The following is a 22,553-nucleotide window of genomic DNA, read 5'->3' on the forward strand; positions in this document are numbered from 1 at the left end:
GAGCCTTTGGCAAGAGTTGGATACTAATCAGTTCATGGTTGAACTCTGCCCGAAGTACCAGACTTCTGTGGCGTTAATTGGAAGGGGTTCCACAGGCTTTGGATATAAGAGCTGGAGGAGGCAGAGTTGAGTTCTGCTGTTCAGTCTTAAGAACCTGATTTGCATTCTTCCCCACTGAAGGACTGGCCCCTCTTCAGCAGTGTGCCAGCAAGGAAGGTAATTATTTTATTTAAAAGAGCTGTTAATCTGCTAAGTACTTGGTAGAAACTTTAGAGTTCTGGGCCATTTATAGGCGATAAGATTTAGACCTGTAGGTTTTTTAAGGATAACTAATATCAGCTGTCTGTCCAAGATTATTCTGGAAGGCAGAAGTGCACGTGGCCAAGTGTTGGAGTCAGGAGACATGTGTTAGTCCTCCTTCTAGGTATGTTGCCTCGGGTGTGTCGATGAACATTTCCAAGTAAGTTTTGGTTTCCTGGTTTAATATGATAATGCATATAAAGTGCTTAGTACAGTGCCTGGCTCTTAAATGCTCACTGCATTTTCTTGGTGGTGGCGATGATGATTTGTTAGTGTTTGAGGGTCTTCCCCACCAAGTTCTTAACCAATTAAGACCTAAGAGTTTGTCTTAGGGCATGGAGGAGCCCAGCATAGAGGAATTAGGAACATGTGTGTCCTAAAAGCAGCTGCTCCTAAGAGGAGCTAGAGAAAGGGGTTGAGCTGACCACACCCAGCCCTTTTCATCCCTCTCAAAGCTAGTAATTCACTTTTCCTTCTCTGGGAGGAGCAAATGAGGATGAAGAAAGAAAAACTTCATGAATATTTCTTTTTTTTTTTTTTTTTGAGATGGAGTCTCGCTCTGTCGCCCAGGCTGGAGTGCAGTGGTGCAGTCTTGGCTCACTGCAACCTCCGCCTCCCAGATTCAAGCGATTCTCCTGCCCTAGCCTCCCAAGTAGCTGGGACTACAGGGCGCCTGCCACCATGCCCGGCTAATTTTTTTTTGTATTTTTAGTAGAGATAGGGTTTCGCCACGTTGGCCAGGCTGGTCTCAAACTCCTGACTTCAGGTGATCCGCCCGTCTCGGCCTCCCAAAGTGCTGGGATTACAGGTGTGAGCCACCGTGCCTGGCCCTTCATGAGTATTTCTTTGGGTGCAGGGCATAGATGTTGCATTCAAATGATGTTATTTTTATTGCTCTGAAATGGCTAGTGCTCCATCCATCCTCATAATGGTTCTGCCACAGTAAGGTAATGAGTCTCCCCTCCCACCCCCTCCCAACAACAATAGCTCCTTATTTGTAGCCTTCACTCATTAAATGTCGGTGAATATTTAATTGTTATACAAATGGTGATCGTGGTGTCATTTTGACGATTGGTCAATATGCTCAGCTGCCTCTAAAGTACCTACCCAATTCAAAATAATAAAACCCTGTCATCAGCACAGGCTGAGTACTCCTTCTGTTTCTTCTAACTGGTGCATGCAGCCATTCATGTAATTAGCTGTGCCAAGTTAACTAAGTTTCAGAGGGGGTATTAGAACATGGTCCTATTGTACACAGTTCAGGATTAGTGCTTCAGCTGTTGTCATCACTCTTGTCTTCCGGGACGTAGCAGGCTTTGAGAAAGATTAATAACCTTGGTGTGTAAGGAGGTTGCACAATTTGATCATAGTAGGAGCCAGGCCACGGAGCCAAAGCCTGTCCTATAATTCTGCTCTCACACACTCTGCAAGGCCTTAGTCTTCTAACTTAGCTCCTCTAACTTTTGCTTTTTGTTTGTTTTTCATTTGGAAATGTACATGAAAATAGTACCAATCTTACAAGGTTGTTATGGAGATTAATTGAAAATGCAAGGAAAGTATATAGTGTGGTGCCTGGCATATGGAAAGCCCTTGATAAATGCTCGTTGTTTAGCATTATTATTGTAAAATGGGGATAATAATACCTTCCTTACAAAATTGTCATGAGAGTAAAAGGAGGTATTTTGTATGAAAATCTCTAGATCAGTCTCCTGCACATAGTAGGCCCACAATACTTGTTTTTACAAATTAGCCAGTGATTCTGAAGGCTTTTTATTGTTTTGAAAGTTGTGACAAAGGAGTCTAATGAGCCATTATTTTTAAAGCCTTTCTTTAGGGGAGGGTCACTCTTTTGGAGTCTGTGCATAGCTTGGGAGATGGTGTGGACATGAGCAGACACCTTCCTGGCATCCAGATTAGGGAGCAGATCCCTGCTTCTCAGAACGTTAGTGATGCTGCACTTGGACTGGCCTCAGTATTCTGTGAGAGGGCTTACAGTGTGTGTTGTTGTTTGTTTTTAACTTTTAAAAATAGAAATTTACAAATATTCACAGTTGAAGAAATAACCACCAACTTCAACAATAATCAATATTTTGCTGATCTTATTTTATCTCTCTTCCCTATTCCAGACACCAGACACACACAGACACACACACACAAAAACACACACTTTTTTCTTCTAGAAGAGTATAAAGTATATCCCAGACATCATGTCATTTTACTGTTAAACACTTTAGTATGCATCTTTAATGATAAGCAGTTTTTAAACATAACCACCATTGCATTCTTAGCTGATTTCTTGATGAGATCAAGCAGAATGTAGCAGTAATCAGTGGTGAAATGCCTGTGCCCAAAATGAGCATTTTAATGCAAAATATTAAATTTAGTTCAATTCAGCCAGTATGTTAGTATTTTTTATGTACAAGGCACTGCATGCACAGCACGTACAGAGAATCAAGGTGGCAGTCCCTGGCCCTGGGAAGAGTCCTGTGGAAAGCCCATAAGACATACATACGAATAACCAAAGTTCAAGGCAGGATTCACATAAAACCCTTAGAGAGCAGGGAGCTTGGCAGGTGGTGGGATTTGTTGAATACGAAATAGGAGTGTGACATGTGAGTTCAAAGGAGGCATTCTCCGTTGAGTAGGAGAGGATACACAGAAGAGGTATGTGCATGACAGGCCTTGAAGAAGGGCACAATCTCTGCAAACCATTTTTAAAATTGTAAAACAATGTTAAAGGACAATCTCTGTCCATGCACCAAAACAAAAACGAAATCAGAACCTGCTCCTACTCCTACCATTCTGACATGGTGGAATCATATCTTCTCCAGGAGTGTAAGTCTAAAGTTGAGCTACAAGGCTGGTGGATAGCTCAAATGAACCTGCCCCTCGTAAGTTCACAAGCCAAGAATCCACTTATTTTTGTTTGCCTTTGCATTAAAACTGAGGCCTCCTTTTCTGAGGCCTAAGGTTAGTTTTAAGAGAAAATGAAGAGACCAACTGTTGAGGTCAATGAAGAGATTTTTCTTTCCTTCCAAGCTGGAATTCCTATAGCTAGATGCACACATTGTGCAAGTCCCCCGTACTCTCATTCCGCTGTGTTTGGGTATGTAGGATTCAAACAGATTGATTTCAGGGTGGAGAATGGAGTAGAATGAAAGAATCTCTTCAGTCATTATTTAAACTACTTATCGAGCAGGTGGCCCAGGTGCTGAGGCAGACAGAGCAGCAGGAAGGAAGGCGGAGCATAGGAGTAGCTAGGGAATGGTGAGAGGTGCCATCTGAGTGGAGTTGAGAAGGCAGTGGGTGCTGCGGCTGGGTGCACGCAGTGGAGGGCCTCGAATGCCAGGCTGGGGAGCATTTTCTTAACTCAGTAGGTGAGGGAAGAAGCCATGGGAGGTTTATGGAGCAGATGCCCAAGCAGTCATGTCAGTCATGTCAAGTGGCAATGGGAGGTTGTTATTATAGTCTTGGCTAGAGGGAGTGAGGGCCAGGGTGAAGGTGTTCTTCATGAGGTTTTCACTTCTATTTGCAAATATTCATAAAGTGTCTACTCTGCATCAGGCCTGAGAACAAAGAAATGGAAGAGACACTGAGGAGGTAGAATGTGCGAGACTTAGGAACCCTCAGAGTGGAGAGGTGGAAGGGAAGGGAGAGCGTTGAAGATGGCACACCTTTGACACTGAGTGACCTTGAGAATGAGTGGCGGGAATGTGGTAGCAGGAGTGGTTGAAAAGTTTGGAGGTGGGGCTGGCTGTGTTTGGAACAAGGTTTTAACTCTCTCTCTCTCTCTCTCTCTTTCTCTCTCTCTCTCGCTGGCTCGCTGTGTGTGTGTGTGTGTGTGTGTGTTTGTGTTTGTGTGTTTGCAGAGGCAGATGTGGAGTGAGGTGAATTCGGTTGTGAGCGTGCTGTAGTAAAGACGCCATGGATGCTCAGTTAGAATGCCCAGACCTCAGCTCAGGCCAGTGTTTGGGTCTGGAGGCTAAGGAAGAGCTGGGTTTTCATGTCTGGGGGAGTGAGCTTTGGGGTGTGAGCAGGCCAGGGAGTGGGAGGAGAGAGAGAGCTGCCCAGGTGATTGGCACAGGAGCTAGTTTTGACCACCTTTTCTGTGTGTTCTGTGATCTGACCACTAATAGGTCAGTCAAGTCACTCCAACATGTTTTTTTAATTGACAGATTAAAATTATATATGTTTATGGTGTACCACATGGTGTTTTGAAATATGTATACATTGTTGAATGGCTAAATCAAGCTAATTAACATATCCATTACCTCACATACCTATAATTTTTTGTGCTGAGAATGTCGAAGATCTGTTCTCTTAGCAGTTTCCAAGTATACAATACATGGTTATTAACTATAGTCACAATGTTGTACAATAGATTTCTGGAACTTATTCCTCCAGTCTAACTGAAATTTTGCGTCCTTTGCCTAGCATTCTCCCCTCTCCATCCCCCAGCCTCTGGTAATCACCACTTTACTCTCTGTTTCTATGAGCTCAGCTTTTTGACCTCCCACATGCGAGTGACATTATGTGGTATTTGTCTTTCTGTGCCTGGCTTATTTCACTTAACACTGTCCTCCAGGTTCATCTGTGTTGTCGCAAATGGCAGGATTTTGTTCTTTTTTTTTTATGGCTGAATAGTAGTCTATTGTGTATATATACCATATTTTTTTAATCCATTCATCTGTTGATGGACACGGGTTGATTCCATATCTTGGCCCTTGTGAATAATGCTGCAATGAACATCTACCATCTTTCATCATAATTTTGACAGCCTTTGAAAAGGTGCCACTCTGAAAGAATCTGCACGGGGGTGGAAGTAAACCATTAAGGATCAAAGGGTCTGTCACCTGTGAGGAGACAGAAGAGGAGTCCCCACAGGCAACTTCATGGTGTTTTGGATCACACTGGTCAGTCAGGCTGAGGCGAGGGCCTGCAGGGAGCTGTCTTCTGGGTCACATTCCCTGTGGCAGTAACTTAGTGTCATGGCAGCACTGCACTCAGCGTTCCTAAAAATCATGTGTCAGTCAGTGGAACTTAGAAAATATGAAGTTTAGAAGACAGTAGGTTTGGTTCATCTGTGAGCTAAGGATGCACTTGAAAGGTGGTAGAAGACAGGGCTCCGTTCCCATCTGCCACTTTTGAACTGTGTGGCCAAGTCACTAACTTCTTTAAAGCTCTCCCCTCAGAAATGGGAACTGTGAATAATGATCACAAATATATACACGTGTATGTGTATATGAATATGTGTGTACCTGCATACACACACACACCAGGCACCAGTCTAGGCATTTTAAGTACAGTATATTTTAACTCTTAACCCTCACAATAACATTATGAGCTAGTTACTGTCATCCCCATTTGTATGGGTGAGGCACCAGAGATCTGAGTAATCTACCCAAGGTCAATAGCAAGTAAGTGGCAGAACCAGGATTTGAACACAGTCTGGCTCCAGACCTCAGCTCCTCACCACTGTTCTCTGCTGCCTCACAGTTTGCTGTTCAGGGTTATGGTTCTCCAGTCCCCACACAGTCTCATGCCACACAGGAAGGGTCTTATGTGTTGTGCTTGAAATGGACTTGAGGCTCCATGTAAGAGCCACTGCTGGCTGCTGCCTACAGATAGTTGATGCTCAGTGTTCTGGGGCAGTCTTACCCTATGCACAGCTGGTGCAAATCTGCCCTTTCCACATGAGATGGACTTAGTTGTCCTGCTCTGCACCCACATTGCTGCATCCTGAATTCGACATGAAAGTTTAGATGTGGAGTAATTTGAGCATTCCTTATCTTTTGCATATGATGGTGTAAACACAGTTGGGTGGTGTGTGTCCTTCAGTCAGTTTTTGCTAGGGTGATGTGTGGTGTGGTGTATTAGCACCATGCTCAGGTTCAGGACATCCCCTAGCAGTGTGACAGCATATGAGCCTGTAAAATGAGCAGTCAGAATGGCCAGTGGATTCCTCTCTAGCCCTGGCAGTCCCACAGCCTGTGGATTTCTCTATGGTGTCCACATCACAGTACGATGTACTCCCATGGATGGGCACAAGCAATTAAATACTTGTGAAGATGACATTTGAGGAATTAGGATTTTGAGTTCTTTGCATTTTCTGGTCCACTGAATCATTCTTGGAGAAATCATGATGTTATAAATTCCATTAGAAGTGTAAATCACAAGAAAAGTTCCTTGACCTCAGCAGTTTGTAATCTGTATGTCATAAATGAAAACAATGTTAAATAAAACCAAACTTTGATCAAGGTGATGCAGATAAAGATAATGTTGATAAATGGAGAGTTCTGTTTAGGTAGTATTATTTTTCTCCCAGAAGGCAAAGTGCTATGGAAGAAAAACGTAGCCCTTTATAGGCCGGGTGCGGTGGCTCGTTCCTGTAATCCCAGCACTTTGGGAGGCTGAGGTGGGCAGATCACTTGAGGTCAGGAGTTTGAGACCAGCCTGTCCAACATGGCAAAACCCTGTCTCTACTAAAAAAATGCAAAAATGAGCTGGGTGTGGTGGTATGTTCCTGAATTCCCAGCTATTTGGTTGGCTGAAGCATGAGAAACGCTGGAACCTGGGAGGCAGTTGCAGTGAACTGAGATCGCGCCACTGCACTCCACTTGGGGACAGTAAGACTGTCCAAAAAAAAAACAAAAGAAGAAGAAGAAGAAAAATGTAGCCTTTTCTAAAAGCCTGAACATTCAGGCAGTAAACATTTACTGAGTGCCTACTGCATAAAAGGCAGTGTATTTGGAGCTTGAGGATGAGACTATAAGCAAAGAGTCATTGTGGAGTGGGCTAACTGGCATACAAAAGTGCATAGATGGCTTATGGGAGCACAGAGTATATCCCTTCTGGGGACCCAGGACCAGGTGACATTGAAGAATAAGTGGAAGTTTGTAGTGCATCTCACATCATCACAGTGGCGTGAGACTGTGTGGAGACTGGAGAACCTCGAGTAATCAGGTGTAGAGGAGCTGGGGGAAAGGAGAGGAAGCCACAAGAGGATTCCAACATCAGCTCCTTGGCAGGTATGGAGGAAGCCTTGGGGCAAAGGAGGACAGAACCATGGAGGTGCAGAAATGGATTAAATTGATGCAGTGAACCCCAGAGGAAGGAGGGGTTTTTCTCCCAGTGGAAACAGGACCGTGGCAGAGGCAAGGGGATGCTAGGAGAATGCTGGCTTCCCTCCCACCCTTCTCTGCAGGGACATGGGGTGCTCACTAGGGCAAGATTCACAGTGACACAGGTGAGTTACATGTGGCAGTAGCGAGAATGTCTGTGGGAGAGTTTGAGGATGGGAGTGCTTATTGACCACTGAACACAGATTCCGCAGAAAAAGTCAGAGGAACGGTAAAGTGAGGACATAAATATGTAGGGGGAATGATGACCTGAGGGCCTTGCATTTAGGGCATGGCCAAGGATGACAGGAAGCTGAGCCACTGTGCCACTGATGGGCCTCGAGTTCTGGAATTTACTGTTGGGTGGGGTTTTCCGATACTGTTCCAGTGGGGGTGTTGGAGGTCTGTGGGCTTACTTGGCATTCCAGAGCAATCTTGGTAGGGGGTGGACACTGAGCTTCTTAAGAGATTCTTCTCAGAAGACCTTAACCTCTTGGGGAAACTGACAGCAGACCCCAGTGCCATGGAAGGATCAAGATTCTGGCCGAGGACATTGGGCTTCTGTTCTTGGGAGGTTTTCTTGGGGTGGGAGGTATGAGAAGCGGTGTTTTACAAGTTTTGCAAAAACACTGTTCTAGGATCCTATCCAATGCAACGACTGATTTCTGTCTCTCTAGTCCGGCAGGAGAAGCATTTAATTGTTAAAACAAGAGCAGTCCTTGTCTCATTCCTTTTGTTAATTCTTGCCATGTTACTCTAATTATTTTCCTATCCTGGCCTTTCTGTCTCTCGTTCAGAACCAGACTACCAGGTGTACCTGAATGCTTCCAAGGTCCCCGGGTTTGCGGATGACCCCACAGAGCTGGCATGCCGGGTGGTGGACACGAAGAGTGGGGAGGCGAATGTCCGATTCACGGTTTCGTGGTACTACAGGATGAACCGGCGCAGCGACAATGTGGTGACCAGCGAGCTGCTTGCAGTCATGGACGGGGACTGGACGCTAAAATATGGAGAGAGGAGCAAGCAGCGGGCCCAGGATGGAGACTTTATTTTTTCTAAGGAACATACAGACACGTTCAATTTCCGGATCCAAAGGACTACAGAGGAAGACAGAGGCAATTATTACTGTGTTGTGTCTGCCTGGACCAAACAGCGGAACAACAGCTGGGTGAAAAGCAAGGATGTCTTCTCCAAGCCTGTTAACATATTTTGGGCATTAGAAGGTAGGAACTTTTTTCTTGTTATTCATTTTTGTTTTGTCTTTGCTTAAGTCGTGCCGCTGTGTGTTGATGCACAGTCACCCTCTGCAGGTTATCACTTACACTAGGAATGTGTGTCCTGGACATTGATCGCCATGCGACCCGTTGCACATGCTCTTTGGACTCACTATCACCCCTCCTCTGTCCCCAAGCCCCAGAGAGGTCCCTCTCCAACTCACTGTCAATCAGCCAAGTCTCTTGTTTCCTGAACTTTACCTCTGAATGTTTCTTTTCTCTTTCTTGCATTAAACATGGTGACTCTGAGGACACTCTTTCCCCTGGAGAAACCGTTACCTCTCTGAGGACAGTTTCCCCCAGAGCCCAACTAAGTGATGCCCATTTTCTTCCCACACTTCTCATAACTGGGCCTAGAGGTGTGGGGCAGGTGCCCTTCTTGATCCTCCCTGCAGCTTCCAGGTCGTTTTCGCTCACTCCTAAAAATATCTAGCTTCGAATCTCGTGTCATCATCACACCATACCACCTCTTCTTGTTACTATTGCCTGTTGCCTCCTAGGTCCTCCGTTCATTCTTTGAAGATGTTAGCGTTTGTTTCACGGCCACTCTGTCTGACACTGCTCCCATCTTGCTAACTTCAGTATCTGTGTAGAGCACTGGGTCACAATTGGAAGCCCCCTAGGAACTTAAAAAAAATGCTGGTGCTTTGTCCCACCAGAAATTCTCCCATCCAGATACTAACCAGGCCTGACCCTGCTTAGCTTCCAAGATCAGACGAGATCAGGCGGGTTCCACCAGAAATTCTATTTTAGTTGGTCTGAAGTATATGCATTCTGGGCACTGGAATTTTTAAATGCTCCCACAGTGATTTTCATGTGCAGCCAAGGTGGCGAACTCTAATACAGTTAATCCTGTCATTCTTAGTTGCTTGTCCTCCTCTCTGTAGTCATCATGTCCTCTATCCTATTTGGTCCTACACTTACATGCTTATATGCTACATTAGACCGTCTCCCTTCTGATAACTGAAACCCCTCCACAGTCTCAATTTCAAGCATCCTGTTCTCTAAACATATCTCCTGTCTTTCTGTACCGCTCCGTCTAGTACTCCAGCAACAATCCCCCAACCTTACTGGGGCCAACAATCTGTTAATCCTACCACCTGACATCGTCCTTCACTGCCATTGTGTCTTCACGTCTCTCTCACTAGGGTGCCCATTTGTAGTCCAGCGTACACCTGGAATGGTGTACATTATGATAGCACCTTCTTTCATTCTCAGAGCTAAGGCTGGGAGGTAGGGGTAAGTTATGTGGTCACCTACTATTACCTAGCCTAAATTCCCAGTCAGTTTTAATCACTCCCTTGCATACACCCCTAGCTTCCTTCCCCTCTCGGTTTGCATTAGACTGTGGCCAAACCACAACCCAGTTCAAAGGCAGCTTTCTGCAGCCTCCCTACCTGTGCCCACAGAGCTAATGTGGTTGGAGAGAAACATTCAAACATGTTGACTGGTCTCCCTTTAAAGTAGTGGTCACTTGTGACAAGTGGGCTCTTGGCACTGCGTGGGAATTATTCTGCATTTCCTTAGTCTGTTTATTTCCCCACTCTCCTAAGTGATTACTGCATACCACCTTCTGTCTCTGCAAACCTCCTCCCACAGCTTCTCTCTCAGCTGTTGGCCCTGCTTCCTATTCTCCTAAAAGTAGAAATAATCAGGAGAATTCCCATTCACGCTGCCCCAGGGCTGAGACCAGGTCACGTGGCATATGTCCTGGCAGAGGCCAGCCCCTCTCACTACTTAGACCATGGCTGCTCTCTCTTATGTCTTTGGTAATTCTCTCCCTTCTGGACCTTTCCTATTGGTCTGTCAATGTGCTGTTAGATCCAGGTTTCCTTGGGTTTTTTAAGAGGGGGTGGGGAGTGAGGGTTGTGGTATTTTTTGTTGTTTTAGTTTTGTTTTGTTTTTAGAGACAGTGTCTCACTCTGTTGCCCAGGCTGGAGTACAGTGGTGTGATTGTAGCTCACTGCAGCCTTGACCTCCTGGGCTCCAGTGATCCTTCCACCTTAGCCTCCCGAGCGGTTGGGACTGCGGGTGCTCACCACCACATTCAGCTAATTTTTTTTTTTTTTTGAGACAGGGTCTTGCTCTGTTACCCAGGCTGACATGCAGTGGCATGATAATGGCTTATTGTAGCTTCAGCCTCCTAGGTAGGTTAAAGTTATCCTCCCACCTCAGCCTCCCAAGTAGTTGGAACTAGAGGCACTATAGGCCTCTATCATCATGCCTGGCTATTTTTTTTTGGTAGAGACAGGGTCTCACTGTGTTGTCCAGGCTGGTCTTGAACTCCTGACCTCAAACGATCCTCCTGCCTTAGTCGCCCGAAGTGCTAGGATTACAGGCATGAGCCACCGTGCCGGGCGCCCCCCCTTTTTTATGCTAGTCTTGATCTTCCTTCTTCATCCGTCTTTCTGTTTCCCACACCCATTTGTCTACTTATTACTTTTTCCTTTTATAACAACAATATTTGACGTATATATACTCAGTGTGTCTGGTTTTTCTCCTTCCATTCTCTCTGGTACCTACTCAAATCAGGCTTTCCCCTCAGCTGCTTGTGGTAAGATGGCCAGTAATCATCATATTGGAAAATCCTATTGTCAGTTATTTTCTTTGACTTAGCAGAATTTAACGCAGGTGATTCCCTCCTCCTGGGAATGCTTTGGTTTTTCCCTTGGCTTGTGGGACACTGCCTTCTCAGGGCTTTCTTCCAACTTTATTAGCCATTTCTCAGCCTCCTTTTCTGGCTTCTGTTCATTTTTTGGACCCGGAAACATTAGACTACCTCAGGACATAGTCTTTGGACATAGTCCTTGGACTTGGACTTCTTTTCTATTTAACCTCACCTTCTTGGTGATGTCTCTAATCTCATCAATTTAAATACCATCTAGAAACCAGTGACTCCAGATTTACATGTCTACCCCAGGCCTCTTTCCAGAACTCCAGACTCAATATTACATTGCCTCCTTGACACTACTTGACTAACAGGCATCTCAAGCTTCTGTTCAAAAGGACGCTTCCCATCACATCTGCCAGCTCTCTTCTCCCAGCTTTCTCCAGCACCATTGTTCTAGTGGCTCAGCCCAAAACCTTCATCCTTGACTGCTCGTTGTTAAAATTGACTTAGAATCTGGCTACTTTTCACACTCTGCCATTTATGGCGCCACCCTTGCCTGGATTACATCCCTGGCCTCCCAGATCGTCTCCTTGCTCTGCCCTAGCACACAGCAGCTGGAACAATCCTGTTAAATATAAGTCAGGTCCTGAAACTCCTTCACTCTAAACTTTCAAAGCCTCCCCATCTCACTCAGAGCAAAACCCAGAGTCCTCTAAGTGGTCTTAGATGTTCTGTACCAACTGGTCACATTACCTTCTGGCCTCACCTAGCACCCTCCCCAGCACCCACTCCATCCAGCCACTCTGCCCTTCCAGGCTCCTCAAATACACCAAGTGTGCTCCGGCCTTGTAGCTTTCTGCCTGCTGTTCCATCAGTCTAGAATGCTCTTCCCAAGATAGATAGGACTTGCTCCCTCACCTCCTTCAGGTCCTTTTTATTTATTTTATTTTTAATTTTAATTTTATTTTTTTAGAATCACAGTCTTGCTCTCTCACCCAGGCTCTCTCACCCAGGCTGGAGTGCAGTGGCACCATCATAACTCGTTGTCGCCTCAAACTCCTGGACTCAAGCCTCTCAAGTAGCTGGGACTATAGGCACATGCTCTGTGCCTGGCTAATTATTTAATTTTATTTTTAGAGGCACGGGGTTTTGCTATGTTGTCCAGGTTGATCCCAAACTCCTGGCCTCATGCAATCCTCTCGCCTCAGCCTCTCTAATCAGTGAGATTACAGGAATGAGCCACTACACCCAGCTCAGGTTCTTTTTAAAATGTTGCCTCCTCAGTGAGGATGTCCCTGATCACTCTATTTACGGTTGTGGCACACACACCTTCCTTCCAAATACAAATCCACGCTTTTTCTCTTCCTTGGCTGCTTATTATCTCTTAAACATTTATCACCATATAACCATACCATATATTTTATTTGTTTATTTCATTTGTCTTCCTTCACTGGCATATAAAGGGAGGGATTTTTGTATTTATTTGTTCACCGTTATGTTTCCAGTACCTGCAGTATGGAAGGCTGTCAATAAATATATGTTTAAATTGATGAATGAATGACCGAACTCACAGGAAAATCAAGAAAGAATGTGGTGGCTCAGTAGAAGCTCAGCAGTCAGTGGTTCTGGAGAGAGTTCTTAATATACATGTTCTGCTAATCGGTTTGGTGGAACAAGTGTTCCAAAAAATCTAACGTAAAAATCTCATCTTGTAACTGGATGGATTATAGGATTAATCATCTTATTAAAGGATAAAAAGAATGTATCTAATTCATTTATTCATCCACTCAACAAATATTTAAGCACCTTCCAAGTGCCTGACGTTGTGCTACTATAATAGATGAATTCTAATGTGTACATGCATAGGCATTGTTGTTTTGACAGAGACACAAGGAGTAATCCACTTAAACCTAAAGTTAGCGTAGCCATAGACACCTCTCAAAATGTTTAAACAGCATTTCTGAAATTAAAGTGTAAAGCAAGTGGAAATTATTAGATCTGCAAATACATACGCTACAGTCATTTTAGCAATACATCTGTTCTGTAATGTCACTATCATATGATTAAACAGGGAGAATTCATTTCTCCCTTGCTGCATTCCTCCCTGCAGGCTAGCTTAGCTAGGGGCACTTCCCCTGCACTTAGCAGACCCCTGGGGAGGAGAGGCAAATGGTATGGCCAGGAGCCTGGCTTGGAGGTCATGGTGTTGTGTTCAGCCATGTCTTTCCCACCTTTATAGGAGTGTCCTCTGCCTTGCATCTTTTGGAGCACCAATAGCGGGTTCCCAGATTCTTCCTGGTGAAACTTCTTAAGGACTTAAAAATCCTTAAAACCAGTTCTCACCATAATTTCCTCTCTCCTGACACCCACTGATTCATTTCAGACTATTACTTTCAATGGGGTGGTTTTAGCCTGCTTATAGATACACATGATTTTCTTTCTGAGTTTCCAGATTTTCGTAGGTGCTTTTGTGTGGCAATTTGCAAATACATTTCTGTTTCTTGGTTATTTTGCTTTTAGTTGCATTTTTATTTTAACTGATCTTGTTGGAAATCACATCCTTCTGGTCATTCATTCCAGATTCCGTGCTTGTGGTGAAGGCGAGGCAGCCAAAGCCTTTCTTTGCTGCCGGAAATACATTTGAGATGACTTGCAAAGTATCTTCCAAGAATATTAAGTCGCCACGCTACTCTGTTCTCATCATGGCTGAGAAGCCTGTCGGCGACCTCTCCAGTCCCAATGAAACGAAGTACATCATCTCTCTGGACCAGGATTCTGTGGTGAAGCTGGAGAATTGGACAGATGCATCACGGGTGGATGGCGTTGTTTTAGAAAAAGTGCAGGAGGATGAGTTCCGCTATCGAATGTACCAGACTCAGGTCTCAGACGCAGGGCTGTACCGCTGCATGGTGACAGCCTGGTCTCCTGTCAGGGGCAGCCTTTGGCGAGAAGCAGCAACCAGTCTCTCCAATCCTATTGAGATAGACTTCCAAACCTCAGGTGAGCAGTGAGCCCTGTTGAATCATAGGTGGAGCTAGAAGAGACCCTAGGGTTTTGATCAGATGCCCTCATTTTTTAAAACAGCTTTGTTAAGATGCAATTCATATGCCATACAATGTACCTGTTTAAAGTGTGTAATTCAGTGGCTTTTCATATATTCACAAAGTTGTGTGATCATCACCACGACCAGTTTTAGAACATTTTCATGACCCCAAAAGAAACCTGGACCCCTTAGCCAATACCCTCCATTCACACTCCATTCCCCACCTCCCATTCTGCAGCAACCATGATCTACTTTCTGTCTCTATACATTTTGCCTATTATGGACATTTCACATAAATGGAATATAATATGTGGCCTTTCTATCTGGCTTCTTTTTTGGAGCAAAATGTTTTCAAGGGTCATCCATATTGTAGCATGTATCAGTGCTTTGTTCATTTTTATGACTGAATAAGATTCCATCGTATGGATATCCCACATTGTGTTTATCCATTCATCAGTTGATGGACATTTGGGTGTTTCCAGTTCTTGACTGTTACAAATAATGCTGCTGTGGACATTCATGTACAAATTTTTGATGAATGTATGTTTTCATTTCTGCTTTCATTTTAAGAAAATGAGCTGAAGCTCAGCTACTTCAAATACTTTAGGGAACATAGTGGAGTATAAAGAAAGAGAGGAGGGAATTGAGCCTCCCAAGGTGTTAAATGACTTGCCAAAGTGGAAGATCTTTAACATCCTCTGTCTGTGTATGTGTGTGTTTCAGTAGGAAGATGATTTAAAAGTATTTAAACCCCAATCTTATTTAGAATATGAATGCAAAGGATTATCATTTGTGAGTTTAATACTAAGTGTTTTCACTAACTCTGCCCTGGGTTCCTGGGTTTTAGTTAGAAATTTCTGAATGTATAAATTAATACTTATCTGTAAAAATTCAGGTGTCAATTGAATCATACAATGAATGCAAGATATTTGTTGAATTAAATGATTAGCATTTATATTAAAGGTAAGCTAGACTCTAATAAAGTTTTTCTATTAATATTATTTTCTATTATTATAGCCTTTTATGGTATATAATATATACCATAGTGAAATAATCTTCTAAGATCTCTTGACCTTTAAATTAAAGGGTAAATATTGATTTAAGCCCTTAGATTTGGAGAAAGCATAGGCCTCCTTTATTGTGTATCTGTTTGTTTTTAATAGCAGCTTTATTGAGATATAACTCACATACTATAAAATTTACTATATATAGAGTGTACAATTTAGTGGTTTCTAGTATATTCACAGAGTTGTGCAACTATCACTACTATCTAATTCCAGAACATTTTAATCACCTCAAGAAGAAACTCCACTCTCATTAGTAATCATTCCCATGCCCCCATGCCCTTGCCCCTGGCAACCACTAATTTACTTTCTGTCTCTATAGATTTGCCTCTTCTGGGTGTTTCATATGAATTGAATCATATTATATGTGGACTTTTGTGACTTGCTTTTTTTCACTTAGCATAATGTTTTCAAGGTCCATTCATGTTGTAGCAGGTATCAGTACTTCATTCCTTTTCATGGCTGAATAATATTTCATTGTATGGATATGCCACATTTGTTTATCTGTTCATCTGTTGATGGACGTTTAGACTATCTCTACTTTTTGGCTATTATGAATAGTGCTGCCGTAAACATTATTATTTGAAAGTATCTTCTCGCATTCTGTGTGTTGTCTTTCACTTTCTTAATGATGTCTCTTGAAACATCAAATTTTTAAATTTTGATGAAGTCCAGTTTATCTGTTTTTTTTTTTTTTCCTTTTGTTGCTTGTGTTTTTGCTATGTCTAAGAAATCACTGCCTAATCTAAGGCTGTGAGGATTTACACCTATGTTTTCTTCTAAGAGTTTTATAGTTTTAGGTCTTACATTTTAGGCTATGATTCATGTTAATTTTTGTATGTGGTTAAGAAGAAGGAATCCAACTTTATTATGTTGCATGGAGATAGCCAGTTGTCCTAGCACCATTTATTGAAAAGTGTATTATTTCTCCATTGACTTGTTTTGGCACCCCTGTCAAAAATAATTTAATCATAAATGTAGGGTTTATTTCTAGACTGTCAATTCTATTTCAGTGATCTAGATTTCTCTTCTTATACCAATATCACATGGTTTGATTACTGTAGCTTTGTAGTTAGTTTTGAAATCAAGAAGTTGGAGATTTCCAATTTTGTTCTTTTTCAAGATTGTTTTGACTATTTTGGATGCCTGGTACATCCATGTGACTTTTAGGATCCGCCTGTTAATTTCTACAGTCCAGGCATCTGGGACTTTGATGGGGATTGTGTTAACTCTGTAGATCAATTTGGAAAGCATTGCCATTTAACAATACTGTTTTTCAGTTCATAAACATGGGCTATCTTTCCATTTATTTAGGTATTTAAATTTTTTCCATGGTGTTTCGTAGTTTTCAGTGTACAGATCTTGTTTCTTTTGTTAAATTTATCGTAAGTATTTTATTCTTTTTGATGCTATTGTAAATAGAATTGCTTTCTGAATTTACTTTTTGGCTTGTTTATTCATTGCAGTTTCATAGAAGTACAACTGGGTTTTGTATATTGATCTTGTATCCTGTGACCTTGCTGAACTTGTTTATTAATTCTAATTAATTCTAAATTTGGGGGACTTGTTACAATTTTTAAAATACAAGATTATGTCATCTGTGAATAGAACTAGTTTTACTTCTCTCTTCCAAGCTGAATATCTTCTATTTCTTTTTCTCGAGTAATTGCCCAGCCAGAACCTCCAATACAGTGTTGAATGGAAGTAGCACAAGTGGACATTCTTGTCTTGTTTCTGATCATAGGGGGAAAGCGTTCAGTCTCATTCACCTTTAACTATCATGTTCACTGTGGGATTTTCATAGATGCCCTTTATCAGATTGAGGAAGTTTCCTTCCACTCCTAGTGTGTTTCCTTCCATTCTTAGTTTTTTTTTCATTCCTAGTTTGTTGAGTATTTTTGTCATGGAAAGGTGTTGAATGTGGTCAGATGCTTTTTCTCTGTCTGTTGAGATGAGATTATTATGTGGTTTTTGTCCTTTATTTGTGTATTTGTTTTGCTGTCTGTAGGAATCTGTTCCATCTTGTTTTACATTTGTTATTTGATCTTTCTTTTAAACTCTTATATGGAAAAGGGGAGACACAGAGTATTTTGTATCTATTTCTGGGTGAGGAATGGATGTTGAGTCTATTCCTCAGTTCTTTAAATCTCAGCATAACAGATAAAACCGCTGTAGCTTCCAGGTTGAATAGATTGCCTAAGGTTTTATTTTATTTAATCCACAGAGTTGTCATGGCCAGTTCACATTTTAATTAGGAGAAGCTGCCATCAAATTCAGCACCCAGAACAATACTATAGCCCTGAATAGCCACCAGCAAACATTGATTTGAAACTGAACAGCCTTTGCTTCCTAAAAATCCGTGACATACCTTAAGACACGCAACAAAGGGGTTCTTCCCATGTTCACCTTCCTGTCCCCTGATTTCAGGGCACCTGCTTTTTGGTATTAAAAACCAAGGGGCCCTACTGAGTGCTGGGTTTTACTGATTCAAAGTGTCAAGAGGAAAATGGTATTTAAATATGATAGTGTAGGCTTTGGCCTTTTAAAAGAAGAATAATAAATTTTTTTCTTCGTAATATATAGAAAATTTGAAAATATAGTAATGTAGAAAGAAGGGAAAGAGACTTATCCATCATCCTACCAGAGACTGTTAACTTGTGTTGTTCATCTTCCTAGAATGTTTTTCTTGTATATTTTCTTCATGACTTTGAGATCAAGCTGTACATACAATTTTAGGACCTGCTTTTCTCCCTTTAGTGTTATAAGATCAGCACTTTCCATATTGTCACCAATTCTAGGTAAACATTAATACCACGTTTAATGACTTTACATACTTGAATTTGCTTAGCCATTACCCTATTGATGGACATGCAGATGGTCTGTAACTTTTGCTTTCATTAAAAAAACTGCCACTAACAGCTTTTTTTAGAGGCCAAGGTTGGAACATGGTTTATGTCAATGTTTGTATTTAAAAGTTAAGTAGTTCCTATACTCTCTGCAGACTAGGAATTGGGGGACCCCTAGTGACTCCGGTTGTTCATTTAAACTCTCTGTACCATACCCTGTCATCTGTGAAGTTAACCAGACAAATCCCCTCACAAAAACAGAATTACCACAGAAATTGACCATAATGAAAATATTTCTAAGCCTGGGATAATGACCCATATTAACAGTGAGCTGCTGATTTCATTAGGAGGAAATCCACTCCTGTGAATAGCTCACCACAATGCAGGCCTTTTCCCCAGTCCTTGTCTGCCTTGTGAGCTGCAGCACAAATGCTCTGTTGATTCCCACGTCCAGTAGGGGAAGTGAGAACTGTAACGTGACCTAGGAGGTATTTGGGTTTTCTTTGGAAACATAAAGAAAAAGTGAAATTTGTTCGAATTAAGTAAGTCTTCTTTGCTGCTTCAAATTAAATAGATAATCCATGAGATAAAACCATGAGAATTTCTTAATGTTTTGTCATTTTATGTTCTCTTAGAAGGGGCCTGAGCACTAGAAAAGCCCCTCAGTGTAGTTCTGTGTATTACCATGAAATTTCTAATCTGAGAAAAATGTGACCCCCCTGCCCGCCCTTGCTCACCATGGTTGCTGCTAACCTGTACTCACTGACAGGTGGCCGCCTATGGCATAAGTGTCCCCAGTCACCACACAGAGCCAACTCCAGGCAGTTTGGCCTAATCCTGCCCCACCTCACTGCTCCAGGCAGAGCAAGTCCAGGGTATAAGGCCCGAGGGAGCCAGGGCTGAGAGCTGAGTTAATTGAAGGGGATGATGTCCAGAAGTAGGTCAGGCTTCCTTGTCTTTGCTTTCATCCCTTTCCCCATTTCCTGGAACAGCCATTCTGTCAATTCTTTATCCCCTTAGAGTTACGTACGCCCCTGCTGTTCCCTGAATAATCAGAACTCTCAGCAGTTTCTACCCAGAGCTGCCTAACCCCCACTAGGGTTCAATATTCTATAACCATCCTTTACCTTTCTCCCAGGAAAACAAAAAATATTTATATACTTGGTTAGGAAAGCAATCTGATGAATTCATCTTATTAGTCATCATGTCAAAATGAAAATATAGCCCTTTCATCATGTTACTCCCTCTGTCATGGCCATTTCTTCTGCAAGTTTAAAAAAGATACTTTAGGATACTTGTTTCTTTCTGGCAATCTGAACAAGAAGTAGTAATACCTATATTCTTAACTTCTAATGAGTTTTACAGTCAGCACCTAGGGCCTTCAATCGTTGCTTCCCAGGAAACCCAAGGGGAGTCCCATAGCATTGATGTTCTGTGAATTTCTTTTAGGTTTGCCTTGTTCCTAGATTTTAGGAGTTGGGATAAAGTAAACATTGAACTCTTAGGATTAGCTAAGCTGAAAGCTATGGAATGTTCTCACCTAAGAGGAATTCATAAGTGAGTTAAAAATAATAATTCTGCCTGCAGCGTTTTCAGGGAGGCATGTAAGACAAACCCAGTTTGGGTAGGGTTTTTTTGTTTTGTTTTTTAACCAGACTTTATTTTAATTTTATTTATTTATTTATTTATTGAGACAGTGGCACGATCTTGACTCACTGTAGCCCCAACTTCCCAGGCTCAAGCAATCTTCCTCCTACCTCAGTCACCTGAGTAGCTGGGACTACAGGTGTGCACCACCGTGCTCAGCTAATTTTTGTAGAGGCGGGATTTTGCCATGTTCCCCAGGTTAGTCTTGAACACCTGGGCTCAAGTGACCTACCTGCCTCGGCCTCCCAAAGAGCTGGGATTACAGGCATGAGTTACTGCATCCAGCCCAGACTTTATTTTTTAGAGCAGTTTTAGGTTCCCAGCTTTTCAGCAAAAAGTACTGAAAGTTTCCATATACTCCCAACTCTCCCACAACACATAGCCTCCCCAACCTCAGTAGTCTCTTAAAGGCATATCCACCTGTAATCTCAGCACTTTGGGAGGCGGGCAGATCACTTGAGGTCAGGGGTTCGAGACCAGGCTGGCCAACATGGTGAAACCCTGTCTCTACTAAAAATACAAAAATTTGCGGGGCGTAGTGGCATGTGCCTGTAATCCCAGCTACCCAGGAGGCTGAAGCAGGAGAATCACTTGAATCCAGGAAGTGGAGGTTGCAGTGAGCCGAGATCACACTACTGCACTCCAGCCTGCGTGACAGAGCAAGACTCAATCTCAAAAAAAAAAAAAAAAAAAGGAAAAAGGCATATCCAGGCTGCCTCCATTTTCCCTGGCATGCTGAAGCTGTGCCTTGAGTGCTACCACCACACCTCATAGAAATATCATTGTTGACATGTCTGTCTTCTTACCAGATTTCAGCCTCTTGGTAACAGGGCCCCTTTCCCCAGCACCCAGCACAGTGCAGTGAGACCACTCACTCCACTGGAACCAAAAGCTTTCTTGCTTCAGTCCCTGTTCCTCTGATCCCTAAGCCACCCTGGCCTAGAAGTGAACCATGTTGAACTAGAACCAGCCCAGGCTGTTCCAGGGTGGAGGGTAGCTTTCGAATGAGGTCACTGTGGCCACCAGAAAGAAAAGCCAGAGCAAAAGTAATTCTTTCAGAAGAGTTCTATTTTGGTTGTAATCTTAAGATGAAGCTCACTTGGATGTGCCTAATGCCCATGTCTCTCTGAATAGAAGAGAGGCAACCTTGGAACACCTATTTTGTGAGTTTCTAGACCAGTTCCCAGGGAAGAGAACCACATTTTGATGCCCCTTAGAGTGCAAAGAATGGAATTTGACAAAAGCATGAAAGAGAATAATGAGGCTGGCATTACTTTTTTTCCAGGTCCTATATTTAATGCTTCTGTGCATTCAGACACACCATCAGTAATTCGGGGAGATCTGATCAAATTGTTCTGTATCATCACTGTCGAGGGAGCAGCACTGGATCCAGGTACCTCACTCCATCCTCACCCCTTCACCATGTTGCTTTCTGTAAATGTTTCTCATATCATCCGCACTGTGTTACACAGATGTGGGTTAGGGATAGGATTATCTATTTATCCCCTAACTGCCTGGCCCAGTACTTTGTACTCATTAAGTGTTTAATAAATACATGTTGAGTGGATGCATCTATCTGCTAGATGGTTTGGAAATACATCCAGACATTTGAATCTGAGCTGTCAAGACAGTCAGTGGGGTCACTTCCAGGCCTATTTCAGGCTGATTTGAAACCCACTGGCAGAGTCTAGCTCCTTCTCTTGTGTCTTTCATTCATTTATTCATTCAGATATTTATTGAGTTCCTTTGGTATACAAGTGCTGCTCTAGATACTGGGAATAGATGAGTGAACAAAATGCCCAAAGTCAGGGGGCAGTTCCAAGATGGCCAAATAGGAACAGCTCCAGTCTACAGCTCCCAGCGTGAGCGATGCAGAAGACGGGTGATTTCTGCATTTCCAACTGAGGTATCGGGTTCATCTCACTGGGGCTTGTTGGGCAGTGGGTGCAGGACAGTAGGTACAGCCCACCGAGCGTGAGCCGAAGCAGGGCAAGGCATCAACTCACCCGGGAAGCGCAAGGGGTTAGGGAATTCCCTTTCCTAGCCAAGGGAAGCTGTGACAGACAGCACCTGGAAAATTGGGTCACTCCCACCCTAATACTGCGCTTTTCCTATGGTCTTAGCAAACGGCACACCAGGAGATTATATCCTGCACCTGGCTCGGAGGGTCCCATGCCCACAGAGCCTCGCTCATTGCTAGCACGGCAGTCTGAGATCGAACTGCAAGGTGGCAGCGAGGCTGGGGGAGGGGCACCCGCCATTGCTGAGGCTTAAGTAGGTAAACAGAGCTGCAGGGAAGCTCGAACTGGGTGGAGCCCACTGCAGCTCAAGGAGGCCTGCCTGCCTCTGTAGACTCCAACTCTGGGGGCAGGGCATAGCCAAACAAAAGGCAGCAGAAACCTCTGCAGACTTAAATGTCCCTGTCTGACAGCTTTGAAGAGAGTAGTGCTTCTCCCAGCATGCAGCTTGAGATCTGAGAACGGACAGACTGCCTCCCCAAGTGGGTCCCTGACCCCCGAGTAGCCTAACTGGGAGGAACCCCCCAGTAGGGGCAGACTGACACCTCACATGGCCGGGTACCCCTCTGAGACGAAGCTTCCAGAGGAACGATCAGCAGAAACATTTGCTGTTCAGCAATATTCGCTGTTCT

The 22,553-nt window shown here is 43.2% G+C and overlaps 1 protein-coding gene and 1 pseudogene across 2 annotated transcripts in view; one reads left to right on the forward strand and one right to left on the reverse strand.

Moving 5' to 3' along the window:
* Positions 1-22,553, forward strand: part of PTGFRN (prostaglandin F2 receptor inhibitor) — an 80,438-nt gene that overhangs the window by 43,112 nt on the left and 14,773 nt on the right. For both annotated transcript variants that reach the window (NM_020440.4, XM_017001874.2), the window contains exons 5-7: positions 8,216-8,641; positions 13,884-14,303; positions 21,189-21,296. In NM_020440.4, the coding sequence (NP_065173.2) occupies positions 8,216-8,641; positions 13,884-14,303; positions 21,189-21,296 (954 nt within the window). The remainder of the gene's footprint in view (positions 1-8,215; positions 8,642-13,883; positions 14,304-21,188; positions 21,297-22,553) is intronic.
* Positions 9,320-9,444, reverse strand: RNA5SP55 (RNA, 5S ribosomal pseudogene 55; annotated as a pseudogene).

Source organism: Homo sapiens, chromosome 1 (genome assembly GCF_000001405.40).
Source record: "Homo sapiens chromosome 1, GRCh38.p14 Primary Assembly".
Lineage (NCBI taxonomy): Eukaryota > Metazoa > Chordata > Mammalia > Primates > Hominidae > Homo > Homo sapiens.